This window comes from Homo sapiens, chromosome 7, assembly GCF_000001405.40.
Source record: "Homo sapiens chromosome 7, GRCh38.p14 Primary Assembly".
In the NCBI taxonomy this organism is placed as follows: domain Eukaryota; kingdom Metazoa; phylum Chordata; class Mammalia; order Primates; family Hominidae; genus Homo; species Homo sapiens.
The window spans coordinates 130,832,141-130,856,633 of record NC_000007.14 but is presented as its reverse complement, the minus strand read 5'-3'; the positions used below and the strand labels follow the sequence as shown (position 1 = coordinate 130,856,633).

At 42.3% G+C, this 24,493-nt stretch overlaps 2 long non-coding RNA genes and 1 pseudogene across 6 annotated transcripts in view, besides 1 other annotated feature; 2 read left to right on the top strand and 1 right to left on the bottom strand.

The window, feature by feature from the left end:
• Nucleotides 2,414-3,613: an enhancer, noted in NCBI's record as "MED14-independent group 3 enhancer chr7:130537780-130538979 (GRCh37/hg19 assembly coordinates)". NCBI's record gives its function as "activates an origin of replication core promoter dependent on BRD2, BRD4, P300/CBP and CDK7 cofactors, and independent of MED14, by STARR-seq in HCT116 cells {active_cell/tissue: HCT116}" and the evidence as "EXISTENCE:reporter gene assay evidence [ECO:0000049][PMID:35650434]".
• LOC105375508 (uncharacterized) overlaps nucleotides 2,683-24,493 on the bottom strand; it is a 119,688-nt gene continuing 97,877 nt past the window's right edge. For 3 of the 4 annotated variants that reach the window (XR_927976.3, XR_927977.3, XR_007060526.1), the window contains one exon: nucleotides 23,801-24,052. This is a non-coding gene — a long non-coding RNA (uncharacterized LOC105375508). Of the gene's footprint in view, nucleotides 2,912-23,800; nucleotides 24,053-24,493 lie in introns of those variants that run through there. The other variant, XR_927978.3, reaches the window with a different exon arrangement.
• LOC100133252 (zinc finger protein 131 pseudogene) lies at nucleotides 12,703-16,725 on the top strand (annotated as a pseudogene).
• The window catches only part of LOC105375509 (uncharacterized), a 41,820-nt gene continuing 41,222 nt past the window's right edge, over nucleotides 23,896-24,493 (top strand). For both annotated transcript variants that reach the window (XR_007060528.1, XR_007060529.1), the window contains exons 1-2: nucleotides 23,896-23,966; nucleotides 24,049-24,113. This is a non-coding gene — a long non-coding RNA (uncharacterized LOC105375509). The remainder of the gene's footprint in view (nucleotides 23,967-24,048; nucleotides 24,114-24,493) is intronic.

Genomic DNA, 24,493 nt, shown 5'->3' with positions numbered 1-24,493 from the left:
GCAGCCAGATATCTCAGCACTAGAGGACACTCCAAGCCCAGGCTTGCCGTGAGTTTCATGAGGACTCTGAGGTTGACATGGCTTTCCAGCCCAGATGGACCTAGAGAAGACCCCAGGCAGATACTGGACTGAGGGACCTGAGTCCAGAAAACTGTCCTTGTGGCCCAGACAAGTGTGTCTCCCAGCAGATCTCTGCATTTCTCAACTGCAGCAAGAGGAGATGGAGTTGAGACTGGACCACTTCAGGATCAGCTGTGAGAAGGAGCTGGTGGGCCTATCTCATTGTCTCAGATGAACATGCATCACCCAGCTGGTCCCTGTATGAGTGGGGTAGTTCCTAGACTGAAGCAGTAGGGGCTAGAGCTGAGACTGGGCCCCATGGAATGTGCTATGAGAGACTGGAGAGCCCAGTCTCAGCTCAGAGGGGTTTATATCACCCAGCAAGTTTCTGCACAAATAAGCTAGTTTCTTGTCTACAGCAGGAGGGGCTGGAGCTGAGTCTGGGTGTCCTTGGGATCTGTTGTGGGATGGAAGCTAAAGAGTCTGTCTTGTTGGGCCAGACAAGTACACATCTCCCAGCAGGTCTCAGCACAAATAGGATAGTTCCCTGGTTGCTGCAGAGGGCAGGGTGCAGCTGAGACTGAGTCCACTTGGGATCTGCTATGAGACAGAGGTTGGCAAGTGTGTTGGGGACATTCAGACTTCTGGGTTGTGAGATATGGGCAAGTCTCCTTCTGGGTCCTTGTATGAGCACCTCTGAACTGAGACATCAGCTGAGAAAGGCTGGAGCAGAGCCACAGGGCCACTTCCAGGTTCACTGCTGAGACTGATGTCAGTGGACAGACGAGTCTTTCTGCCAAGGCTCTAGTATGCGCAATTCCTTCTAGACTCCTTGGCAGATAGTTTCGGTTGCAAGCTCAAGGCCAAACAGGGCTGTAGCCAACGGCAGACCCCAAGGGGTCCCAGTCTCAGCTCTGGCCCCTCCTGCTGTAGCTGGGGAATGATCCTATCCATGCAGAAACTTTCTTGGCCATTTCCAGGCATGAACCTGGAAGCAAGCTCACCAGATCAACTGACCTGGGTGTTGGTCTGTACTTTCAAAACAACCCTCCTAGGTCTTGCGCCCTCTCAGGGTTTCACAAACTCCTATCTGAATCCTGAGGCTCCCACTGACAGACTTTTGACTGTAGATGGGTACAAAAATTCTTGTACCCATATTGTAGTTGGGGGATATGAGCAGGTTGCCTTCTATTTTGCCATCTTGGTGATGACACTCAGTAAATGCTTTCTTCATATTGACTTTCTGGTCCTGCTAATCTGTGAAATGGAGAGAGCCACTGTATCTCTTAGCTGTGTTAATCCAAATATCTGAGTGATCGTCCAAGACAAGGAAAGAATCTGACTACAAGGGCCCTGGAGGAAGACCCCTGGCCCCAGAATCATTTCTCTGCCTCCACCTCTCGATGGCCCTTCTAAGAGAAAAGATACATTTATGGAAGTACAGACTGATTCAGAAAGTGGGGGACATAGTGGAAGGGAGCTAACATCTGCTGAGTCCCCCGTGTGTCAGGTATGAAATGCAAACTCTCATTTTACCCTCACAGCAACTCAATGAAGGTGAGAATGTCTAGCTCCCTTTCCTAAGTACATGTACACAAACGTGGAGGCAATGCACAGTGTTGAGGTGTGCACTGCTTCCACGAAGTTGAGGAAGACCATTCTTGTTAATAATCAAGTACTTGCCCCATGTGACAAAATACATGCTTTCCTAAAGAAGTACATGAAGTTAAGTCACAGATGAAATCCTACTAATCTGCAGTTTGCATTTAAGCACTCAGTAATTCCAGGCATGGTGCTAAGCACTTTACCTAATCTCACTCAATCTTCACAACAAACTCTGCAAAACACATATATTATTATCCCCATTTTTCAGGTTAAGATATGGAGATTTGCCGAGGCTGAGTAATACAGTCAGGGTTGCACAACTACTAAGTGGCAGAGTCAGGATTTGAACTCATCTCTGCCTGACTTCCAAGGATCTCTGGGTCCTCAGACATAAGGAAAATCACAATGGAGAAAATACTTGTTATATATTGTAAGGAAAATATTATTTCCTAATAAAAATAAAAGGAGTCAAAATTACTGAAGTTGAACATCCCATCAAAGTTTCTCTGTCACCCTACAAGGTAGAGAGCAGTGGGAAAAAAAGGGACAGTCAGCTTTAAGTTTTGTTCCTTGATTTGCTGCCATGCTCCTTCAGGATAAGAACTCCTGTGGAATAGATCAGACTTGGATATGGAATTTAAATAGATAGTTCAAGTTTTTTTTCCCTCTAATTTCAGGCTTAGAATCTAGCAAAGTTAGAAGGGAAATCCTTCCACTGGGTATGTAAAATGTTAAACAAGCCCCTGAGAGTAGATGACTCTTTGCTTCTCTGACCTATACTAGAATAATATATAAAATGGAAACTGCAATAAATGAATAAAACCAAATGACACAGACACACATCTGCACACCCACTGTCTGTGTCCGAATGCTGATACACTGCAGGTACAGTACAGTGACAGGGTGTTCCTGGGAAGCCGATCAATGATTCCCTTCCACAGTTCAGGCTTTATTACAGGAGGTATTCATTAGCTAATTACAATTAGTCGAGTACCTTGGTGTGCCTTCTTCAAGAACTCCTTTAAATGCTCCTCTTTTATTCTATTTTCAAGTTCCAAAAGCAGATGCTTCTTTTATGGAAAAGCCTAATTGCTGTGGAATCTAATGCATGTCCTACTTCCATATCCAAATCTCCTCCTTCCTGTTTAATGGACAGCATTCTCATGACTCACCTTTGATTTATGGGCTGGAAGGCACCACACCTTTTTTCGGTCCTGCCTGCACATATTGTTAAGTGTGATCAACTCTGGAAAAAAGCATTCATGAGTTATGTCAATAATATGAGACACTAAAAGAGACTTGTCCTACAAACAAAACAGTAAATGACAAATCCAAGTTGTTTTAGTCCCATGTGCTTCTCTACCGCACCCTAGAGCCTATAATGATTCCGTTTTCTTCATATTTGTGGCACAAGGAATGCCTGAAAACTCATCCTTAGGTAACATGCGCCTCATTAGTATTTGTTCATTCTAACATTTTAAATTCTTTTGAATTGGCAAAAAGGAACAAAGAGAAGTGAAATTTAGATACCTAATAGATAGTGGAAAATAACAAAACAGCAGCCTATAAATCAATGGAATGTGGCGACTGTGTGTTCTGTGGTGGTGGTTCTTGTTCTGGATGGTATATATCTCTGAATAATTTCCCAGTATTCACCCAATTTGATGCTACTATGAAAAAATTATGTCTCTAAAATCCACATTCCAAATAACTCTTGTTGCAGATAATTCCCTTCTTCCCTTTTCCCATCCTAACAGAATACAATTTTGTTCAGAGGACGACGGAAAATATATCCCATTAAATACTTGCCTAACACACTGAGTGGCCTGTGACACAGGTCTGGTTAGTGATGCTGACAAAAGGCTTCTAGGTATTTATGTGAAAGCTCTTGTGTTTCTACTCAAGCACTGCTCCTTCCGCCTTGAGCGCTGATGTGAAGCCTAGAGCTGCGGCAGCCATCTTGCAACCGTGAGATGAGGAGCGTGAGAATTACAGCCTACAGCTAAGGGTGGCAGAGAAGAATGGCAGGAGCCTGGGTCCAGGATGGCACCACTGCCTCCTTTACTAGCTTCAGACTTCTTATTGCTTGAAATAAATGCCCATCACAATTGTTTAAGTCACTGCTGCTATGGTTCTTTGATGCTTGCAGGTAAAGGCTACAATAACTAATACAGGCTTACAGACACCTTAGCTTCTGTTTCTAAATTCCCAAATTAAAGCTATACATTTCTTTTAAATTCAGAAAGAAGCTAAGTAGCCGTGTTGCCCTTATTTGGGGTCTGGCATTGACACTCCACAACAGCCTCTTGCATTCATTACAATCAACTAGAGACAGACAAATACTGGAGTTAAATGGGGGAAAAAAAGAAATTATAAGCGTATAGGTAATTATGAATAGTTACTGGATCTCACAGTGAGGGACAACTATGTATAAAATCAATGGAATTATAACCTTTAGATGGGCAAAAACCAAGTCTGATGAGACCAAGTATTGCCAAGGTTGTGGGGAAATAAGATCTCTCACATACTGCTTGTGAAGTGGGTGGACTGGGCAACTACTTCAGAGGACAGTGTTTCCACATCTAGTAAACATACCTTCTGCTCCAGAAATCCTTGCACATGTGCACAAGGGCTATGCACAAGAATGTTTACTGTAGCACCATCTTGTAGCAGTGAAGCCCTAGACATAGTCTAGACGTCCATCAATAGGGTGATGGATAAAAACATTGTGATACAGTCTTAACATATAAAAACTAAAAAGCAAAACTCAGATCTCCACATCAACAGGGACGGATTTAGTAGCATGCTGAAGCTAGCTCATGAGAACTAAATGCTAACATTTCAGTTTTGTGAGCTGGCTGATGTTACTTCTATAGCTTGGTATAAGCTATGTTAAGAGTATTTACAACATGGAAATTAGCAAAAGCTACATATCATTCCCTCCCCACAAAAGCTGGTTGTTAAACATTTACTAGCACGTCACTGGACAGACTTCAAAAAAACAGTTAAAGACATGTTTCAGGGGAGAGGAAAGTTTCAGTGATGCAAGATGAATTAGTTGAAGAGATCTACATAGCATCGTATTAATACACAGTCAACAGTGCTGTATTATACACTTTAAAATTTATTAAAGATGAGAGTTTGTGTTAAATGTTTTCACCATACATGCACATATCCCAAAATAAAGGGACACAAGGAAACTTTTGGAGCTTATAGTTATGTCTGTTAACTTGACTGTGGTGATGGCTCCATGGATGTAGGCATATGTCCAAACTCATCCAACTGTATGCATTAAATATGTGCAGTTTATTGTGTGCCAGTTATATACCTCAATAAAGCTCTTTTTAGAAAAAAGGCAAGTTGCAGGATGAAAACAGTATGATAGCACATACCTAAAGTTTAAAGAACATGTTGAGACATGTAATATTTGTAATACTAATAAGATATAGTCTAGAAGGACAGATACCAACTTGTGATAATCATTATCTCTGGAGAGGGGCCACGTAATAGGTGTGGTAAAGGGGAAAAGGGGGCTTAGGTTTTTTAATCTGTTATGTTCTATTTACTTAAAAATATTTGAAGCCAAAACAATGCACTAATGTTGTTCATTTCTGGGTGGTAAATATAAAATGCTTACTCTCCTCTTTGTCTATTATTTAAATTTCAAAATAAAAGAGGCAAAATGAAATGAGAGTCAAAGAAAATTTGCTCATCACTTTTCATTGCCTGTTGATGAGAGTCTGCAGGAATCCCACTGCTGGTAGAGACGTAAAATGATGCAGCCACTGTAAAAGCTAGTTTTGTGGTTCCTCAAAAAATCAACATAGAATTACCATATGACCCACCCATTCCATTCTTAGTCATATACCCAAGAGATTGAAGAGCATATGTTCAAACAAAGTGTTTGTTTGAACACACACCTGTGTTGTACACAGTTGTTCATGGTATTATTTGTAGTGTTGTTTATAATAGTAAAAAGGTGGGAACAACCCAAATGTCCCTCAACTGCTGGGGAATGGATAAAGAAAATGTGGTTCACAACTACTAGGTTGGGAAGAATGAAAATATAACAAGTGTTGAGGATGTGGAAATATTGGAACGCTGCTACATTACTGTTGGAAATGAACAATAGTACAGCCACTCTGGAAAATACTCTGACGGTTCCTCAAAAAGTTAGACATAAAGCAACCATATGACCCAGAAATTTCACCCCTTAGTGTAACTTAAGAGAAATATGCATAGTCAAAAAAACTCTGTACACATGTTCCTCAACTTATGATGAGGTTACAACCTGATGATAAACCCATTGTAAGCTGAAAATCTCATAAGTTGAAAATGCATAATACACCTAACCTACCAAACATCATAGCTTAACCTAACATAACTTAAACATGCTCAGAACACTTATATTAGCCTACTGTTAGGCAAAATCATCTAACACAAGCTTGTCCAACCCATGGCCTGAGGGCTGCATGCAGCCCAGGAACAGCTTTGAATGCAGCTCAACACAAAGTTGTAAATTTTGTTAAAACATTATGAGACTTTTTTGTGATTTTTTTTTTAGCTCATCAGCCATCATTAGTGTTAGTGTATTTTATATGTGGCCCAAGACAATTCTTCTTCTTCCAATGTGGCCCAGGGAAGCCAGAAGATTAGACACCCCTGGTCTAAGACAAAGCCTATTTTATAGTAAAGTATTGAATATCTCATGTAATTTATTGACTATTGTTCTGAAAGTGAAAAGCAGAATGGTCATATGGGTACTCGAAGTATGGTTTCTACTGAATGCATATCATTTTTACACCACTATAAAGTTGAAAAATCATAAGTTAAGCCATCATAAGTCAGGGACTGTCTGTACATGAATATTAATAGCAGCATTATTCTTTACAGCCAAAATGTGGAAGCAATCTGAATGTGCGTGAATTGAATGAATCAATGAAATGTGGTGTAACATTCGAATGCATTATACAACCATCGTTAGGGCTGAATAATGTACAACAGAATATTATTCAGCCATTAAAGGAATGAAGGACTGATTCATGCTACAACATGGGTGGACTTTGAAAACCTTATTCCAAGTGAAAGAAGCCAGTAACAAAAGATCACATGTTGTATTCATTAGTTTATATGAAATATCCAGAATAGGCAAATCGAGACAGCCAAAAAGCAGATTAATGGTTGTCAGGGGCTGGGAGGACAGGGGATGGGGAGTGACTACTTAACTGGTACAGAATTTCCTGTTCTGGAATTAGGTAGTGATGGTGGTTACACAATATTGTGAATGTACCAAAAGTCATGAATTGTATGCTTTTAAATGGCTAAAATGATGAATTTTATGTTATATAAATTTTACCTCAATAAAAAAAGTTATTTAACTATGACATATTAAATGATACTGATTCTAGAGAGACTGCATTGTAAGAAAAGATGTGTCTCAGGGTTGATAAAATGTTATATATTTGATGACACAGAAATCTGGAGCTTCTGGCCAGGCACGGTGGCTCATGCCTATAATCCCAGCACTTTGGGAGGCCAAGGTGGGTGGATCACTTGAGGTCAGGAGTTTGAGACCAGCCTGGCCAACATGGTGAAACCGTGTCTCTACTAAAAATACAAAACTTAGCAAAAATAAAAATAAAAAATAAAAAATTTGGGTGTGGTGGTGGGTGCTCTAATCCTAGCTACTTGGGAGGCTGAGGCAGGAGAATTGCTTGAACCCAGGAGGTGGAGGTTGCAGTGAACCAAGATCATGCCACTGCACTCCAACCTGGGCAACAGAGAGAGACTTAGTCTCAAAAAAAAAAAAAAAAACAAACAAACAAACAAAAAAACAAATTTGAAGCTTCTGTACAAACAGCATTGTATCAATTAGGAAATGAGTTTGCTGCATTTAACAGAAATACCCATATCAACAGTGATTTAAACAAGTTAGAAGTTTTTGTTTCACAGGAGAAGTCCTGGTGTGGATAATCTGGGGCCCATGAACTCTCTCCATGGTTTGTACAGGGACCAGATTCCTATATGTCCTATATTCAATATTTAGCTTCCATCCTCAGTGTTACTTTGTGTTCCAAGATGGCTGTAGAAGTACGAGCCAGCATTTCCCATTCCAGGCATGCAGCAGGAAGGGGGAAAGGACAAAAATGCCTTCCTCTCGGCTAAGTCAGTCTCTCTGAGCAGAAATAAAGACATGGTTAAATAAATACATACATCCAGAAAGTGGGGAAAGCTTTATGAAAGCAGGATCCCCGTCTGTTTTATCAGTGCATTCCTAGGACTTACCACAAGGCAGAGCACATTGAAGGTGCTAAAAAAAAATGTGTGAAATGAATGGATACCTTCATGGATATGGATAAATGCATCATATAACCATTTACATCTTTACAAAAATAATCAACAGGGAAATGCTTATTATAGTGAAAGCAGAATATTACACTATATTTAGTGTAATCCCAATTTTACTGAAAAAGTATACATATGCCTAGAAAAAGAGATTAGAAAGAAAGATACTAATGGATCAAGCGATTTTTCAAATATATAGTGAAATTGCTCTGATATTTTATTTCTTCATACTTTTACACATTTTTCAAATTTCTGCAATGAGCCACAGTATTACTTTTTCTAATTAGAAAACAAATCAATAATCTTACAACTCATCTAGAAGAGGACTACATCAGTCTAAGTATTAAAAACAGGTAGCTAAGCGAATTAACACAGAAACAGAAAAACACAATATAGCACATTCTCACTTATAAATGGGAGCTAAACCCTGGGTACACATGGACATAAAGATGGGAACAATAGACACTGAGGACTCCAAAAGGAGGGAGGGAGGGAGGGGGGCAAGGGCTGAAAATCCTTCCTGTCGGGTACTATGTTCACTGTCTGCTTGACAGGATCTATAGAAGCCAAAACCTCAGGATCACACAAGATACCCTTGTAGCAAACCTGCCCATGCACCCCTGAATCTAAAATAAAAAATAAAAAACAGGTAGCAAGGCCTGGCGTGGTGGCTCATGCCTATAATCCCAGCACTTTTGGAGGCCAAGGCAGGAGGACTGCATGAGGCCAGGAGTTTGAGACCGGGTTAGACAATGTAGTGAGACCTGTCTCCACAAAGAAAAAATTTTAAACGCCAGAAAGAATGTTCCCACCCACCTCCAAAAAGTGCTCCCCTCACCCCCGAAAAATAAGATGGCTGGATGCAGTGACATGTACCTGTAGTCCTAGCTACTCAGAGGCTGAGGTGGGAGGATCCCTTCAGCCCAGGAGTTGGAGGCTGCAGTGAGCCATGATCGCACCACTGCACTCCAGCCTGGGTGACAAAGCAAAACCCTGTGGCAAAAAAAAAAGAATAAAATATAAATGTAAAAACAACAGGTAGTGAACCTCTCCACCAAAGAGAGTAGCCAACAGCCCCATCCAGCAGCTTCGCTTTATTATTTTTGGAGAAGGAGGATGCTGATATCTACAGTGACACCATGTGGAGTCATACCTATCTCTGCATTTCAAGGTAGCAAACTGTTTGTCTACTTAATAGTACAACTTTTTTTTTCAGCCTAACAGTTGCGCATACATACTCATTCTTTAAATGTGAAGGCAATTTTAAGGCACACAGGGAAAGTTATCCATTTATCAACGCAAACTGATCATCTGTTTTCAGATCAAGATAACTTGCAAGTGACTGCACTGAACTCGGCCCTTCTCAGCACAATGCATACCCACTACCACCTTGGAATTGTCTGTTTTCCCACTGTCATGAGCTAAACTGTGTCCTCCGCACCACCAACACTTCAAACGTTGACATTTTAAACCTCAGAATCTCAGAATGTGACTGTACTTGGAGATGGAGTCTTTAAGTAGGAAGTAAATTAAAGTGAGATCATGAGGGTAGGCCCTTATCCAACATGATCAGTGTCCTTATAAAAAGAGATTAGGACACAGACACACACAGAAGGAAGACCAACTAAAAACACACAGAGAAGACGGCCATCTACAAGCCAAGGAGAGAGGCTCGGAAGACACGATCCCTGGCCACATCTTGATCTCCGAATCTCCGTGGTTGAAGCCACCCAGCCTGTGGTACTGTGTTATGGCAGCCTGAGCCAATGAACACACTCAGCCATCCTGTTAATTAGATGTTTGGTGACAGTGAGGGTTAATTTGATGTGTCAACTTAGCTAGGCTGTGATGCTCAGTTTTGGTTAAACACCAGTCTAGATGTTGCTATAAAGATATATTTTAGGTGTGATTAATACTGAAATATTTAAATCAGTAGACTTTGAGTAAAACAGATTTCCCTTCATAATGTGGATGGGTCTCATCTAGTCGGTTGAAGGTCTTAAGAAAAATGACTGAGGTCCCTGAAGAAGAAGGAACTCTGCCTTCAGACTCGACTACAATATCAACTCCTCCCAGAATTTCTAGCCCGCTAGCCAGCCCCAACCTACCAACCCCCACAATCAAGAGCCAGTTCCTTAAAATAAATCTCTCTATATATGTGTATATATATATTTCTATATATACACACACATATGTATATATTTATACACATACCTATCTGCATACATGCATGTATACACATAGGTATATCTATATACACACGTACACATATATATGTGTATAAATATATATATATATATATACACATATAATTATGTATGTCCGATTCTGTTTCTCAGGAGAACCCCAACACAGTGACTAAGGACTGATGTTTCATATACCTAACTCTGTGCTCTTGCTTGTTTTATTTAAAATATTTTAAAATATTTTAATATATTTTAAAAGCATGAGAGAGAAATTTTTCAGACCATATTTCTCATACTTTTCAAATATAAAATACATTTACTTATTTCCAGATTTGTGGATGAAAGAACTGGTCAAATACTTGCATCCAAGCAAACTAGTTCATCGTCGTGTTGTTCTCTCTCATGTTTTAACGATGACCTCGAGCACTGCGAGAGGATGTTACCAGATGAGAGCCAGGGAGAAGGCAGAGAGATCATCCACAGGCCTTACGGTTACACCCATAGTGTGCTGGCAGCCAGTGAATTCCACGAGAATGAACCATCAGGGTTATAATTTTCAGCTTTGTTGTGAGCATCCTGCCTTTGCCTTTTGATCCTGCCTAATCTTGTTCTCCCCTGCACATTTGCTGCCTCATTTCTTCCTTCAGAAATGGCAAGTTTTCTTTCTGCTAAGTACATAAACAGCTTCTAATCAGCAAACAATCGGCTGTAGATGTAGAGGGTTTGGCCAGGAGGAGAAACAGAGATGTGAGAAACAGATGAGAGCAGTGGGCAAGCCTGGGGAACGCCCATGGGCACAGAGCCCCTGGAGGGCAGGGCATGCGGGGGTGGAGAGGATGAGGAATGTGCCCCACTCGCACCTGTGACCAGGGACACAGACGTGTGAGCCTCGCTGACAGAAGACAGCTGTGGGACCCAAGGGATCAAGAGCTTCACCCAGCTAACAGAACTACACATACTTGCAAATTTCTAATTTTGAAGAGGCTTCCCATGAAGGTGAGGGAATTTAGAGAAAAACGAAGGGCAGGGTGGCCCTGGGGAAGACTCATTGCCTGGGATGGTGCCAACAAGGGGCTGGGCTTTGAAACAGTGAGAGATGACGTGTGGCCGGGTGCCGTGGTGCATGCCTGTAATCCCAGCACTTTGGGAAGCTGAAGCGGGAAAATCACTTGAGCCCAGGAGTTCAAGACCAGCCTTGGCAATAAAATGAGACCCCACCTCTACAAAAATTTTTTTAAAATTAGGCATGGTGGCACCCACCTGTAGTCCCAGCTAACTGGGAGGATGAGGTGGGAAGATCACTTGAGCTCCAGAACTTCAGACTGCAGTGAGCTATGATTGCACCACTGCACTCCAGCACGGGTGACAGAGCCAGACCCTGTCTCTTAAAAAAACAAATGAACAAATAAACCAAAAAAAAAGGATATGAGGCAGCCCAGCAGCCCGCATGGCAGAAGATACCAAGACCATTTGGGAAGTCTTACTCACCATAACACACTAAGAAGCAGTATTGTCCAATAGAACCTTCCGGAGTGATGGAAATATTTTATATCTGCACTACCCAATACGGTAGCCTCCAGGCATATGTCACTACTGAGCACTCAAAACATTGCTAGTGCAACTGAGCAACTGGCTTTTACATTTTACTTGATTTTAATTAGAATTTAAATGGCCACATGTGGCTGGTGGCTGCCATATTGAACAGCACAGCCATCAGGTCTTCCTAACACACTGATTGATGTGTCTCCCAACGTAGTTTGGGGAAGGAGTGCTATGAATAAATGAGCGCACAATCCTCTTGCTACTGAATGCTCCACATTTGAATTATTAGCAATCTAAAGGGTTGGCTGGAGCCAGTGAGAATGAAGACACCTCCTTTTTTTTAGGGTCTTTAGGAGACCCTAAAAGCCTGGTGGAGGAGCTTAGCCACCAGCATTACCTGATCTGGTAAGCAGTGAATCAGAATGTCCTTGGCAGGAAACACTATCATTTGGGTGCATAATTAACCCCAGTCTGGTCGTCAGTTATAACCTTAGAAACAAGAGCTAAAACTTCACACCCTTGGTCTGTTTCCAAATGTGGGACTATTGTTTTTAGGTACTTCAATGTTTAGTAGATTTAGAAGAAAATCCCTCCAGCTGTAAGGGAGCTTTATAAATAGGAGAAAATAACATTTGTCATATTTGCCTTGGGAGATTTGGGCTCAGCCACGGACTCAGAAGCTCTGGGCAACACCTCTGCGTCCCCTCCCCTCACCTGTTCCATCTGTACAGCTGAGAAAGAAAGGCTTTCTCAGGGTTTCTTTAAGGAAGAAGATTAGAACCATTATAAAGCATTTTAACAAATGCAAAGTACCCTTCTATATAAATTATAACATGTTTTTACTTACTTGATTTCTTCTTTTGGGGGGAAATGAAGCATTGCTTTTGAGTATAATATGGAAGAAGTTTAATAGCACAATTACAGCCGAGTCTTCAAAGTAGAGAAAGAGGCCGAGACCGCCTGTGTGTCCAACCGAGCGCACGTGCACCAGCGGGGCCCGAGCAGAGGCAGCACCCGGCTCTTGTGGGGGAAATGGAGGGAGAGCCACGGTTTAGAGATAGGGAAAGCTGTGGGGCACATTATGCCCTGGGAGGAGAAAGCACAAAACCAGAGGCTCTGAGGGACAAAGAGGAAGGAGGGCAGAGCATGAGGCAGAGCAACCCAACAGCCATGGAGGCTGAAGAGACGATGCAACACCTACAGGAGTTCCGTGAACGTCATAACAAGATCCTCGACCAACTGAATGAACAGTGAGGGCAGGACCGCTTTACTGACATCACCCTGATTGTGGACGGACACCATCTGAAGGCTCACAAGGCCGTTTTGGCTGCTTGCAGTAAGTTCCACAATTCTTTTTTTTTTTTTTTTTTTTGAGATGAAGTCACACTTTGTCACCCAGGCTGAAGTGCAGTGACCCGATCCTGGCTCACTGCAACCTCCACCTCCCGGGTTCAAGCGATTCTCCTGCCTCAGCCTCCCAAGTAGCTGGGACTACAGGCACCCGCCATCACATCTGGCTAATTTTTGTATTTTTAGTGGAGACAGGGTTTTGCCAAGTTGGCGAGGCTGGTCCCAAACTCCTGATCTCAGGTGATCCGCCTGCCTCAGCCACCCAAAACGCTTACAGAGATTACTGTAATCCTTCCCAAAGGGATTACAGGGGTGAGCCACTGGGCCCGGCCGCCTTCTACAAATTCTTTCCAGAGTTTACCCAAGAACCTTTGGTGGAGATAGAAGGTATTAGTAAAATGGCCTTTTGCCATTCAATTGAGTTCACATGTACAGCAAAATTAATGATACAAGGAGAAGCAGCCAGCGATGTATGGAAAGCAGCAGAACATCTACAAATGCTAGAAGCCATCAAAGCCCTTGAAGTTAGGAACAAAGAAAACTCAACTTCAGGCCAGGTGCAGTGGCTCACGCCTGTAATTCCAGCACTCTGGGAGGCCGAGGCGGGCGGATCACCGGAGGTCAGGAGTTCAAGACCGGCCTGGCCAACGTGGCGAAACCCTGTCTCTACTAAAAAATACAAAATTTAGCCGGGCGTGGGGCACCTGTAGTCCCAGCTACTCAGGAGGCTGAGGCAGGAGAATTGCTTGAATGCAGGAGGCGGAGGTTGCAATGAGCCAAGATCGCACCACTGCACTCCAGTCTGGGCAACAAAGCAAGACTCCATCTCAAAACAAAACAAAACTCAACTTCATTAAAGGAAAATACCACAGGAAAAAGTGAGGCCAAAAAAAGTAAAATTGCAGAAACTTCACGTTATCGCTGAGTCACTGCTATCTGCAGAGTCAGACTCTGTTGAAACTGAGGTAGAGAATGCCGAAGACACGACTGAAGCAGAAGATGAAGGCATGGAAACATTCGAGGAAGGGCTTCTGCCCAGCAGTCCATAAAGTACATACAGAGCACAGGTTCCTCTGATGATTCTGCTCCAGCACTGTTGCCAGATATCACCAGCAAGTACTGATACCAGAGTGGGGCAGGGAAATGCTGGATAGAGAAAGGCGGGGTCCCTGGTGAGGGCTCCCCCCTTGGGCCCGTGCTCACGGGCCTACGTGAGGACAGGCACTCCTGTTTTCGCGCCCAAATGTTGCATTTTCCAAGACCACCCTGGCCCACCACACCCCCCATCCTGGGCCTATAAAAACCCCCCGACCCTAGCGGCATAGACACAAGCAGTGGGATGTCTAGAGGAACACAGCGGCAGAAGGGCACACAGGCGGCTAGGCATCGAGAGGAGCAGGGGAATGGAAGAGCACAGGAACAGGCACCTGCACACGCTGGCAGGCCATCAACTGGCAGAACAACGCGGATGCCCAGGGGAATTTGGCAGGGGTGGTAGGAGGACAGTCTGGCCACTGAACAGCCCGACTCCAAGGGAAAACCCCCTTCCCACTCTATCCCTCTTTTGGCTCCCCATCCATCTGCTGAGAGCTACTTCCACCATTCAATAAAACCCTGCACTCATTCCCCAAGCCCACATGTGATCCGATTTTTCCGGCACACTAGGGCAAGAACCCTGGGATACAGAAAGCCCTCTGTCCTTGTGATAAGGCAGAGGGTCTAAGTGAGCTGATTGACACAAGCCGCCTACAGACAGCAAAATTAAAAGAGCACCTGTAACACACGCCCACTGGGGCTTCAGGAGCTGGAAACATTTCCCCCAAGACACTGCCGTGGGGTTGGAGCCCACGACCACAACCTGCCCCCCTAGATGTTTGAGCAGCAGCACCGAAGAAGCTAGCCACGCCCCCATCACACACCCTGTGAGGGGGATAAGGGAGCTTTTCCTGTTTCAGTACCACCAAGGTGACAGAAAAGGGCAGATTAAAGAGGAAGACAGCTGTGCAATCTGACCCCACAAGCAAACAGGAACACATGAAATCACACTTCACTGAGTTTCAACTGTGAAATATGCAACAAAAGGTATCTTCAGGAGAGCGCATGGAAACAGCACCTGAATTGTTACCACCTTGAAGAAGGTGGAGGCAGTAAGAAGCAAAGAGGCCGGGCGCGGTGGCTCACGCCTGTAATCCCAGCACTTTGGGAGGCTGAGACGGGCGGATCACGAGGTCAGGAGATCGAGACCATCCTGGCTAACACGGTGAAACCCCGTCTCTACTAAAAACACAAAAAATTAGCCAGGCGTGGTGGCGGGCGCCTGTAGTCCCAGCTACTCGGGAGGCGGAGGCAGGAGAATGGCGTGAACCCGGGAGGCGGAGCTTGCAGTGAGCCGAGATCACGCCACTGCACTCCAGCCTGGGCGACAGAGCGATACTCCGTCTCAAAAAAAAAAAAAAAAAAGCAAAGAACTGGTGGAAAAATTCATGTATGTCAGTACTGTGAGAAACAGTGTGACCATTCTGGACATTTTAAAGAACAGGTGAAAAACCTTTTGAATATCCAAATTGTCATGAACAATTTGCTAGAAATAGCCCCCTCAAATGTCACCTCACTGCATGCCAAATGAGTAGGGGCAAAAAAAGGAAGAAAGAAGCTCATGAGTGCCAGGTCTGCAACAGTGTGTTTAACAGCTAGAACCAGTTCAAATATCACTCAGTAATACATACTAGAGGTAAACCCAACCATTGTACTTTATGTGACTTGTGGTTTATGCAAGGAAATGAATTAAGGAGGCATCTCAGTGATACAATATATCAAAGCGTCTAGTAATGGGAGAAGTTCTTTCAGCAGAAACACAGGTACAAGCTGAACCTGTGACATCAATGATATTATAGAACAAGCTGGGAGGTACACGTGCTCCCACTGTTTCAGGTCCAGGTGGATTCAGCACAAGCGATCGTGGAACACGTCCACCCAGAACCACGCAGGGATAGCCAGGTGCCCGACACACAGGAGTGAGCTTCCAGAGCAGGTCCAAGTGAGTTACCTAGCAGTGGGCTGAATTCAGCCTGAAGAAGGTACTGAAGTACACGGAGAGGAGCCGCATGTGGAACGGGAAAATCAGATGCCAGTGGAAGTACAAAGTGAACTTCCAGAAGCAGGCTTCGTCCACATGACCCCAGAAATCATGACCCAAGAGAAGACAGAGCCTAGCCAAGCAGATGCTGAGGCTGCCAGGGAAGATCACGAAGATGCTGAGGATTAGAGACCGTGCTGACAGCACATTCTGAAGCTGAAAAGGCAGAGAATGAGGGCAGAACAGCTATGCCAGTTTTAGAATGAAATTACACATGAATATATTTTAAAATATAATTGTTGGGTTTCTGAACCGATTATAGGCAGTATGACTGTCGTTCAGCTAACAGACAAGTGGACCAAAGTTAAGCTATTTCCTGTTGTTTCTGTTTCTGTTGGAACAAGTCAATTCCCCTCCCCAAACTTAATGCCACAGCAGAGGGATCTTTCCCATAACTGAAGAGATCTTTTCTGTAACTTAAATGGATTATATTCTTATCATATAGTGGGGTACGAATGTATCTATGTTCATTGTGGTAAAAGTTCTCCCTTTTCTCTTTCCCAGGTCATGTTCTTCCTCAAATTTTTTCCATATTGTGAAATCAAACTTAAATCATTAGAATACAAGTTTATGTATTCTAATGCATAGTAGAAAATCAAATATATAGGAAACACAAGGCTGCATGATGAAAAGTACATTGTTACTGTGCAGCTGAATTTTGGCTTCTGGCTTTCTTTAGTCTGAACAAATGTTCTTGTCTAGCCCTGTAGTCACCGATGCTGTCTCTGCAACACAAAGAGTGGTGGTGGGAAAATTTTTAGAATATTAAAACACACACACACACGTGCCTTTTCAAAACCGACTAAACTCCTATAAAGCATCTCTGGTTCTTTCAAAGTTTGTATTGTAAGGAGCAATGTAGACAATGCTATGATACTTTATATTTTTACTTATAATGACAACCACCAGTTCTTTTCACTTAAGTTAGGTTGAGAAATTTTATTTAGTGGCAGCTGAAGGGCAATTTTCAATTGGGAAAATTCATTTACATCTGTGGTCAACTTTCTTTTGATGAAAAGTTGCACTAGTATTTTACCACCAGATAAAAAAAAAGATGAGCATTGTTTAAAAATTAATGTATTTAAAATAAAGTACAGAGAAAAACATGTCTATAATTATCAGGCTTTGTTTTGAATGGAATCTTTTCCCCCAGTCCTTAATGTAAAGACCCTGTGCTATAACTTTTAAAGCCATACAAATAAGAGTGCTAAACTGTGGACTTAAAAGTAGGTGTATAAATATTTTTAATCAATATTACTTAGAAAATAAAATCTAACAAACACATTTTAAAAAATAGAGTAAGAAACTTCACAAGATGATCTCAAGGTAAGAAACATACTATTGGTTTCACATGTCAGCTTTTAAGAGATTTGTTACAGACTGAAAGGGGAGTGAGTGGTTGCAGCAGACACTGTGACCAGCTTTCAAATAATGATCGTGCCTTGAGTCATTTCTGAGAAATGGGTAAACAAATTCTTTCACTTTTACTGCTGGATTATGTTGCTCAAACTCATCTGCTTTGTACCCATTTGAAAGCTCCATCACACATTATTTTGGAAATGGTCATCCTGAGTCAGACTGAGTAATCCCAGTTAATGAGTTTGGTTTCCCTCTCATCTGGTTTTTACTCAATCTTCTGTATTTATCCCATTTTTTTTTCTTTCCTCAGAGATGCCAGACCACATCATCCTAAACACTAACGAGCAAGAAGGAAATTTCCATGTTAGCGGAGGGACCCCACTAAGGTTAGGGTGCCGTACAATGTGTTGTCCAAACCAAGACATGTTAGAGAATGAAAGGGGGACCATTTTAATAATTATGCTGGGGCAGTAAGTATAAACTGAATACCCTAACTAAAGAAATAAACAAAAAACATATGTAAAGGTGGTCAACTTCATTAGTTATCAAAGCAACAACAAAATGAGACCATCATACACCCACCAGATTGGCAAAAATTAAAAAGTACAACAGGCCGGGCGCAGTGGCTCACGCCTGTAATCCCAGCATTTTGGGAGGCCGAGGTGGGCAGATCACGAGGTCAGGAGATTGAGACCATCCTGGCTAACACGGTGAAACCCTGTCTCTACTAAAAATACAAAAAAAAAAAAATTAGCTGGGCGAGTTGGCAGATGCCTGTAGTCCCAGCTACTCGGGAGGTTGAGGCAGGAGAATGGCGTGAACCCGGGAGGTGGAGCTTGCAGTGAGCTGAGATCGCGCCACTACACTCCAGCCTGGGCGACAGAGCAAGACTCCGTCTCAAAACAAAAAAAAAATGTACAACAATACCAAGCACTGGTAAACATATGGAGCAGCTGGAACTCACAGTGTTGGGAGCGCATTTTAAATCATTTTTGAAAACAATGTCACATGATCTAGCAGAGACGAACATGCATGCATCCTACGATTCAGCAACTTCACACCCATGAGACAGGTACTAGGATATTTACAGAAGCATTGTTTCCAAAAGCCTAAAACTGAAAACAACACAAATATACCTTAACATTAACATTGATACATGTATTATTTATCAAAAATAACTGACTGATTACTTGATTGAGTGGGTCTCACTATATTGCCTAGGCTGGTCTTGAACTCCTGGGCTCAAGCAATCCTCCCGCCTCAGTCTCCTGAGTAGCTGGGATTACAGGTGCATGCCTGGCAAAATAGATACATTAAAAAATAGCTACATTCATCTATATAGATAAACCTTATAAACACTGCATTCATTCAAAGAAACAAATTAAAATACTGACACTTATATAAGTCCAAAATAGCTCAAACTGAACAAAAAAATACATGCTTTGGTGGTAAAACTGTAACTAAAAGCATTGCTCTTATTAACCCCAAAGTTAGGATGGTGGTGAGCTCCTTGACAGAGGGAAGGGCACATTAAGGAGAGGCTTCTAAGACCTTGGAATTATTTTATTTATTAACCTGGATGATGGTTACATAGAATTTATCTCTCATGTAGAAAAACATTGTATAAACAGAATAATATAAGAAGTGTGATGGAGGCCCCAGAGCAGTGGTTCACGCCTGTAATCCCAACACTTTGGGAAGCCAAGGTGGGCGGATCACTTGAGCCCAGGAGTTCAAGACCAGCCTGACCACCATGGCAAAACCCTGTCTCTACAGAAAATACAAAAATTAGCTGGGTGTGGTGGCATGCGCCTGTAGTCCCAGCTACCTGGGAGGCTGAGACATGAGAATTGCTTGAACCCAGGAGTTCCAAGCTGCAGTGAGCCGAGATCACGCCACTGCACCCCAGTCTGGGCAACAGAGTGAGACCCTTTCTCAAAAAAAAATTTTTTTTTAAGTGTAAAATCTGTGATAGCCATTAGAGCTGGTTATCTTCTGGGCAGCTATATGATTATTTCTTGTGGCCCTCTGTGGCTGGGTAGGGCCATGTAACTAGTCTGGCCAATAACTTGCGATCAGAGGTGATGTGTGTTAGCTGGGCACGGTGGCTCATGCCTATAATCCCAGCACTTTGGGAGGCCAAGGCAGGTGGATCATTTGAGGCTAAGAGTTGGAGACCAGTCTGGCCAACAAGGCAAAACCCCCTCTCTACTAAAAATACAAAAATTAGCCAGGTGTGGTGGCGGGCACCAATAATCCCAGTTACACAGGAGGCTGAGGCAGGAGAATCGCTTGAGCCCAGGAGGAGGTTGCAGTGAGCCGAGATCGCACCACTGCACTCCAGCCTGGGCGACAGAGACAAAAAAAAAAAAGAAAGAAAAGAAAAGAAATGATGCATGTCATTTCCAAGCCAAGCATTTGGTTGCCTTTGCTGCGCCCTCCAGAGCCTTCTTTTCCCCTGACATGGTGACTGGCATTGTTCCAGATAGCAGCTGTTCCCTCAGCCCACAGTGAGGACAGCATGGATTGGGGTCCTCAGCCAACCTGCAACCTGCAATGTACAGTGAGCAAGAAGTAAACCTTTGTTGTTTTAAGCCACTGCAATCTGTTACCACAGCATTACCCTGCCTTTCCTGATGATAAGGAGAATGTCAGGAAGAGGTGGGTTCAGGGAAGGCAGGCAACATTTAAGATGAGACTTGGTTAAAGAAAAAAGGAGTTAATCACGGGAAGAGTTGAAGAAAGAGTATTTCCGACAGAAGAAACTGCTGAATACTAAGACCCTGCAGTGGGAATGAATTTTGAGGGACAAAAAGAATGCCAGTGAAGAGAGTAGTAAGAAAAGAAGAGAAAAATAAAACATGTGATCAGAGAGGTTGGCAGGGACCACAGCAAGTACACACTGTAGACTGTGGTGAAGAATCTGGAGTTTACTCCTAGGCAGCCACTGGTGGGTTCAGTTCAGAGGATGATGTGATACAGATCACATTTTAAAGGTGGGTAATTCTTGCTTGGAGGATGTGTTGGGGAGGCCAAGCATGGAACCATGGAGCCCACTTAGAAAGCGGGTACTGGTGAGAGATGATGGTGCCTTGAACTTCAGTGGTAGCAGGCAAAAAATAAGTAAAATTTGGGGAATGTGTTTTGCAGGTGCACCTGGCAGAAGGCAATTGAGGGATCACAGGTGACCCTTATGTCTCTCAGTTGAGCTACTATTTGATGAGGCTGTTTACTGAAATGGGGGCAAATGAGAACAGGCTTGCAGAGAGGGAAGGAAGTTAATTTTTGCTGTCTTAGCTTTCAAATCCATTTGACATCCACGTGCATATGTTAGATGAACTACTAGAGAGGCAACCCCATTTCTCAAGGGAATGCCCAGAGCTAAAAATGTCTACATTTGGGAGTCACTAGCATATAAGTGATATTTAAGTCGAGGGACCAGATTAGATCATCTAGAGAGGGAATTTATTTATTTATTTATTTATTTATTTATTTTTCTTGAGAGGGAGTTTCGCTCTGTCACCCAGGCTGGAGTGCAGTGGCGCGATCTTGGCTCACTGCAACCGCTGCCTCCCAGGTTTAAATGATTCTCCTGCCTCAGCCTCCCAAGTAGCTGGGACTACAGGCATGCGCCACCACACCCAGCTAATTTTTGTATTTTTAGTAGAAACGGGGTTTTGCCATGTTGGCCAGGCTGGTCTCAAACTCCTGACCTCAGGTGATCCACCCGCCTCGGCCTCCCAAAGTGCTGGGATTACAGGCATGAGCCACCACACCCGGTCTAGACAGGGAATTTAAATAGAAAAAAAGATGTGGAAATAGGTGAAAAGACAGACAAACGTGTGGTCACTAGAGCCAAAGGAAAAACATATTTTGAGTGCTTTTGAGAGGTCGAGTGAGACGTGAGTATTGACAGTATTTTAACATGGAGGCTATCAGTAGCTTTGACCAGAAAAGCTTTAATGGAGTTAGGGAGGGGAAAGCCAGATTGAGGAAGTTGAAGAGAGAATGGAGGAGAATGAAGAAAAAAGAAAAGAAAAGAAGAGAGAGAGAGAGAAAGAAAGAAAAAAGAAAGAAAGAGAATTTCCATAAGTTTTACTCTGATAGGGAACAAAAAGTGAGATGGAGCCTGGGCGGAGTCCTGTGGGAAGGGCAGATTTTTCTTCTCTTAAGATGGGAGATACTTGGGTGTGTTTATTTGCTGATGCTGTTGAGTAGGCAGGAGTGAACTGAAGACAAAGGAGATTAATAGATTAATTCACAAGGGAAGAAATGGGTCTGATCCAGAGGAGAGATCCTTCAACCAAGGATGGCAAAGGCAGGCAGATGTTGGTCTTACTGATGAAACTACAAAGGATTGCTCTTTAATTGTGGCTATTTTTACTGAGTTATGAACAAAATAAATGGAATAATATTTGATGAATATTAAATAAAAACTGAATAAAGACCTGAAACTGCATATTGAAAGGATGCCCATGAAGCAAATAATGGAAGGCCCTATATGTTTCTTGGTTAATATTAAATTTTAAGAGCAAAGAATAAATTCTATCAGCATGTAAACAGAAAATAAAGTTTACAAACAAAGGAAAAAGTCAGGCTGCATTTTGGTCCAGCCATGATGGAATAGTTTATATCAAGATTATAAATGTCCTACAGAAAACAACTGTAAAAGATATACCATATACATTAAAAAACTGTTTTAAATTTTTGGAGAGCATGTAACTAAGACAGGATTTGAGGAACTGTGATACCTGAGACCAGTGAGGCCAACCTCATGTTTACTGCCTTTTTCCTTGAAGGCACTTGCTATTTCACAGCAAAGCAACGGAACAGGGGTCCAACAGAAACAGCAGATGGAATTTAGGAAATATCTGTTTCATAATTCAAAAATGATACAATTGTATAAGCAGAAAATTAAAAAGAATCAACAGATGGACGATTAGAAATAATGAATTAGCAAGGACATGGGACACAAGACTTATAATAAAAAGTCAATATTTTTTACAGTGAGGCTCAAAGGACTTTGTTGAAGGCTATACTCTAAAATACTAAGGCATTAAATGCATATTTTAAATTTGCCCTTTAAGTTTTGGGGTGGTTGAGAAATTCAGTAAAAAATATTTCCAAATAACATGCAGAAGTTGTTTTTAAGCTTAAAAGCTCATATTTTAGCTACACCCACACAGATGATGTAGAAAACAGCTGAATTTCGGTGTATCTGAATGGTCCAGATTATGTTCCTTCTGAAAGAGACAGTTTTACGTACGATCATTTTTCATATGAAGCATATAAAAAGACACCCAGAAACTACCACGTATTTACCACATAGACAATGTCCATCTTTATCTGTAATTCAAAACCATGTAATTCCTTTTATGCAACAGACTGCAGTGTGTGAGAAGTATGTCAAGAGAAGAGTAAAAAAACAACCAGGAGCTGGGCGCAGTGGCTCATGCCTGTAATCTCAGCACTTTGGGAGGCCAAGGCGGGCGGATCACGAGGTCAGGAGATCGAGACCACCCTGGTTAACACGGTGAAACCCCGTCTCTACTAAAAATACAAAAAATGAGCTGGGCGTGGTGGCGGGCACCTGTAGTCCCAGCTACTCAGGAGGCTGAGGCAGGAGAATGGCGTAAACCTGGGAGGCGGAGCTTGCAGTGAGCCGAGATCGCGCCACTGCACTCCAGCCTGGGCGACAAAGCGAGACTCTGTCTCAACAACAACAAAAAAACAACCAGGAGTACATTCATTAAAAAAAAACTCAGCTGAGTGCGGTGGCTCAGGCCTGTAATCCCAGCACTTTGGGAGGATGAGGCAGCCAGATCACCTGTGGTCAGGAGTTTGAGACCAGCCTGACCAAAATGGTGAAATCCCCTCTCTACTAAAAATACAAAAATTAGCCAGGCGTGGTAGCACACGCCTATAGTCCCAGCTACTCGGGAGGCTGAGGAAGGAGAATCGCTTGAATCCAGGAAGCGGAGATTGCAGTCCGTCGAGATTGTGCCACTGTACTCCAGCCTGGGTGACAGAGCGAGACTCTGTCTCAAAATAAATTAATTAACTAAATAAAAGAAATTTAAAAAATTTTAAGTCAATGCTATTTTTATACACTAACAACAACAAAAAAATTAGACCACGGAATTTGTAAAAACCAGGTTGGCCTTACATTCTGTCACAATATGTGATGTCAGAAAATAAGAGAACATTGCCTAACAAGTTTTTTTCCTTTAAAATTATGCTATTTATTTGACATGATATATAAACTCAAAGCATTTTATCAAGTTACTTCCTGCTCCCCCATAAATAGAATAACTCTGGTTAATTTGGTCAGCCCAAATACAGTTTAACAAGTTTTGAGGGGAAATGTTTGTCATCTGTGTAAGGTTGTGCTGGTTTTCATGGTGAAATTGTGGTGTTCCTTCATTGTGGCTATTTTCCAGTAAAAATTATGATGTTGTATTTCAGCTACCTGTAAGAAGAATCAAGATAAAGAATTCATGAATGATAAAAACACTTTGAAAAGACTGGTGGTAAGTATCAAATGATTCAAAAACAAGTAATTTTAAGATACCTTTAAGTGTACTTACAAAACATACCTTTTGGGCATGTGTACAAAATATAATTTTTAGAGTAACAAATGTACAAAAATAACAGGTAGGGCATAACAAAGTCGGAGGGTAGAAGATAATTTTATCAAATATAATTCTGTGTTTCATTCATTAGGCATTAATTACTGACAAGTTTATTTTTAGCTTTTTATTGAAATATAATACGCACATATAAAGTGTAGAGCTCATTGAATTTTCACAAAATGAATACGCGTACTTGAAAAAACCGCAGAGATCAAGAAACAAAAAACATGATTCACATCTGAGGAAGATAAATATATTTTTGAAAATTAAAAGTTCCA